Raw genomic sequence first — 3,754 nt, forward strand, 5'->3', positions numbered from 1 at the left:
GAGGAATTGGCCGCTGGCAGGGTTTCCTAGAGCGAGGCAGGTATAGTTACATAGGATGCTGGAGTGTGACCCTTGTCTGACTAGGCTTCTATTTCGGAGGAGAAAGTTACTGGAAATGTGGGTCTGGTGCTGTATGTTATATTTAGAAAAGCTAAGTTACCTTTCTGAATACAGGACACTGAGGATAATAATTACCAGGGAATAGAGGAGCCAGGGAAAAATCACCAAGTGAAGGGGATCCTGGGAGAAACCACAGGCAGATGATAGGAGGAATCAGGATAGTACAGTCCATTTTTTACAGACGCCATTCAGGGAAAAGGTGGAAAGGTCACTAGGGGAGTCATCTCTTGAGTGAAACCACCCTGAAAGTCTGAGAGACATCTGAATGAGTAGTAGGCTGCAGGAAGAGTGGTACAACTTTTAATGGGAGAAACCGCCTTGGGAAATAGGGTAGAAGTCCAATAGTATTAATACAATCCTCTCCTGGGAGATACCACCAGAGGAGGGAGGAGAAGTCCGGGCGTCCCCTTCTGAAGGGCTGGGTCGGGTGGGAAGGTGAATAGAGATTTGAATCACCCATTACCCTCCACACTAAATACCTCAAGTGCAACTATAGTAGGCAGCAATAATAACAACACTAATAGTCTTTAGTATGGCCAACGTGTTACTAAAAGCACCTAAAGAAGACTGTTTTTATTTACCTTGAAGTTAAAATATAATTAATAACAATCGCCTTACCATGTCAATGAAGCTTTAAGTGCAGTCTCTGACCCTTAGCTTCTCCTCTGTGGAAATTCTGAAACCTCCTTACTCCCCTTTTTGGAGGGTGTGGATGAGGAGTTGTAAAGATACAATTCCTTTCACTTGGTGAACTCCTAAACATGATTCACAGCTCAGCTTCTGACAGGAAGTTCTACCTGAACAGTGGTGGGAAATTACTACCCAATGTGTTCAGTTCCAGCAGGTGGGAAACTTGTTTTCAGGGAATTGAACCTACACTCTGATGTGGGCATGCTGGATGCCTTCAGGCCAGTTATGTCTGTCTCTGGGACTCGGCTTAAAAATATGTTTAGAGAATTAGACTCTGCTGATCTCAGGTTTTCTTTCTTCTCCGAAAGGACGGTCTAAGGAAACATCTGTGGAAGTCCGTTAGTAAACACACAATTTCTACCAAGGGGCTAAGAATTACTGTTGATTTTGTCAGTAATGCAGCTCTGTTAAAAAGAAGATGACTTAACTTTTAGGGATTCGTGTGGAAATATTTATGGGTGGAATAATATTAGCTTTAAAAACTCCACTGAGAAAAAAAAAACTCCACTGAGAAGGGGTATATGGTATTGCAAAAGAAAATGTTGATAAATGTTAAAGCAGAGTGATAAGTAGACAGAACTCATTATAATGTTCTCTTCCATAGTATTTGTGTGAAATTTTCATAGTAAATTTCTAATTTAAAAAGAAAGGAATTAAAAACATTTACAAGGAAACATCAAGAAGACAGCAGGTGTGGTCATAGTGTTAGGGAAGATGAAACCTAGGAGACCCAGAGTGACACCATTTTAAGTTCAGCTCCATCTTGACACTAGCAAGGCACATTCATTGCAAGTCACAACTCATGGTCCTAATGTGTTTACAGCGAAGGAAGCAGCCCTGTAATGCCTGCAAAGACAAACTCCTAGAACAACAGAAAGTCCAGATGTCCAATACCCATAACAATAAATGCTTTCAAGATCATTATAGTTATACTTTGATGTACTTACTAAAATGTCAGGGATAGTTTTCTTTAAATCAATAGAATAATAAATTTTGTCATAATGTCAGGCCACCCACGCATAGGCACAGCTTACTTTAGTCTTTACATAGACAAGACCCCTATATAAGAAAAGCTTAACAGATGTTCCTCCACTTGCTTTCTGAGGACACCCTACTCTGTTGTGGAGTAGCTTTCAATAAACTATCTCTTCTCACTGCACTCTACAACCCACCTGGAATTCTTTCCTGCATGAGATCAAGAACCCTCTCTTGGAGTCTGGATTGAGACCCTTTTATTTCCATAACAATAGTATTATACAAACACAGGCATACCTCAGCGATATTTAGGGTTTGGTTCTAGACCACTACAATAAAGCGAGTCACACAATTTGTTTGGTTTCCTGGTGCGACATACACTGGGGCCTGTTGGGGGTGGGGTGGCGGGAGGGAGAGCATTAGGAAAAATAGCTAATGCATCCTGGGCTTAACACCTAGGTGATGGGTTGACAGGTGCAGCAAACCACCATGGCACACGTTTACCTATGTAACAAACCTGCACATCCTGCACACGTACCCCAGAACTTAAAATAAAAATTAAAGGCTGGGTGCCCGTGGCTCACGCCTCTAATCCCAGCACTTGGGGAGGCCAAGGCAGGCGGATCACGAGGTCAAGAGGTCGAGACCATCCTGGCCAACATTGTGAAACTCTGTCTCTATTAAAAATACAAAAATTAGCTGGGTGTGGCAGTGCACACCTGTAGTTCCAGCTACTCGGGAGTGTGAGGCAGGAGAATCACTTGAACCCGGGAGGCAGAGGTTGCAGTGAGTTGAGATCGCGCCACTGCACTCCAGCCTGGGCGACAGTGCAAGACTCTGTCTCAAAAAAATAAAATTAAAATTAAAAAAGTCTATTTTGAAAAAAATAGAGAAAGAAAACAACATGAGAAAGAAAAAGGAACATTACTACTGAGAGAAAGATTTAAAACTCAAGAGAATTCTAAGGATATTTTGAGAAATCCATTTGAAAATGTAATAAAATAGGAAGTTTCCTAGGAAAACACAGATGAAAATTGCCATGTATAGGAAGAAAATTTGGATAGGCCAAAAACAATAAAAGAAATTGAATTGGTAGCATATGCAAAAACCAATCCTATGTGTATTAATGATTCAAATGTTAAAAACATAGCTTTAAGACTTTTAGTAAAAATATTAGTAAATGTGTTTTAGACTCTGTGGCAATGGAAAGATCTCTTAAACAGAACACCAAAAAAGTATTATATATAAAAGGTTGATAAAACTGACTATATTAAAATAATAATTTTTGTTCATCAAGTGATAGTAAAGAGAATGAAAAGGCAAGGTATAAACTGGTGCAGATACACATAGAACACAGGCTACCCGAGATAGCAGGAATATGCTTTTTAAAAAACCCTCCAAATCGGCTGGGCGCGATCTCGGCTCACTGCAACCTCCGCCTCCCGGGTTCAAGCGAGTCTTCTGCCTCAGCTGGGATCACAGGCGCCTGCCTAATTTTTGTATTTTTAGTAGAGACGGGGTTTCACCATGTTAGCCAGGCTGGTTTTGAACTCCTGACCTCAGGTGATCCACCTGCCTTGGCCTCCCAAAGTGCTGGGATTACAGGCGTGAACCACCGCACCCAGCTATGCATGCATTTTTATGCGCTGGGAGTGAAGGTGTAGGATTAACCAGCCTTCTCAGGAAAAGCATTATAGCTATGCTATAACTATTATACTCTGTTATAACTACAGCATAATTATATACAACACTATAACAGAGACTGTGAATGATCATACTAGTGATGTCTTTTGAGGGGCAGCATTGCATGGGGGTTGGTATAATGGACTCTGTAGTTATCTGTCCTGGGTTTGAATCTCTCTGTGCTGTTGACTAGCTCTGTGATCTTGGGCGAGCTCCTTCATTCCTCTGTGACTCAGATTATTCATGTGGAAAAGGTGAATATAATAATTGTAGCTATCTCAAGCAT

Source organism: Homo sapiens, chromosome 19 (genome assembly GCF_000001405.40).
Source record: "Homo sapiens chromosome 19, GRCh38.p14 Primary Assembly".
Lineage (NCBI taxonomy): Eukaryota > Metazoa > Chordata > Mammalia > Primates > Hominidae > Homo > Homo sapiens.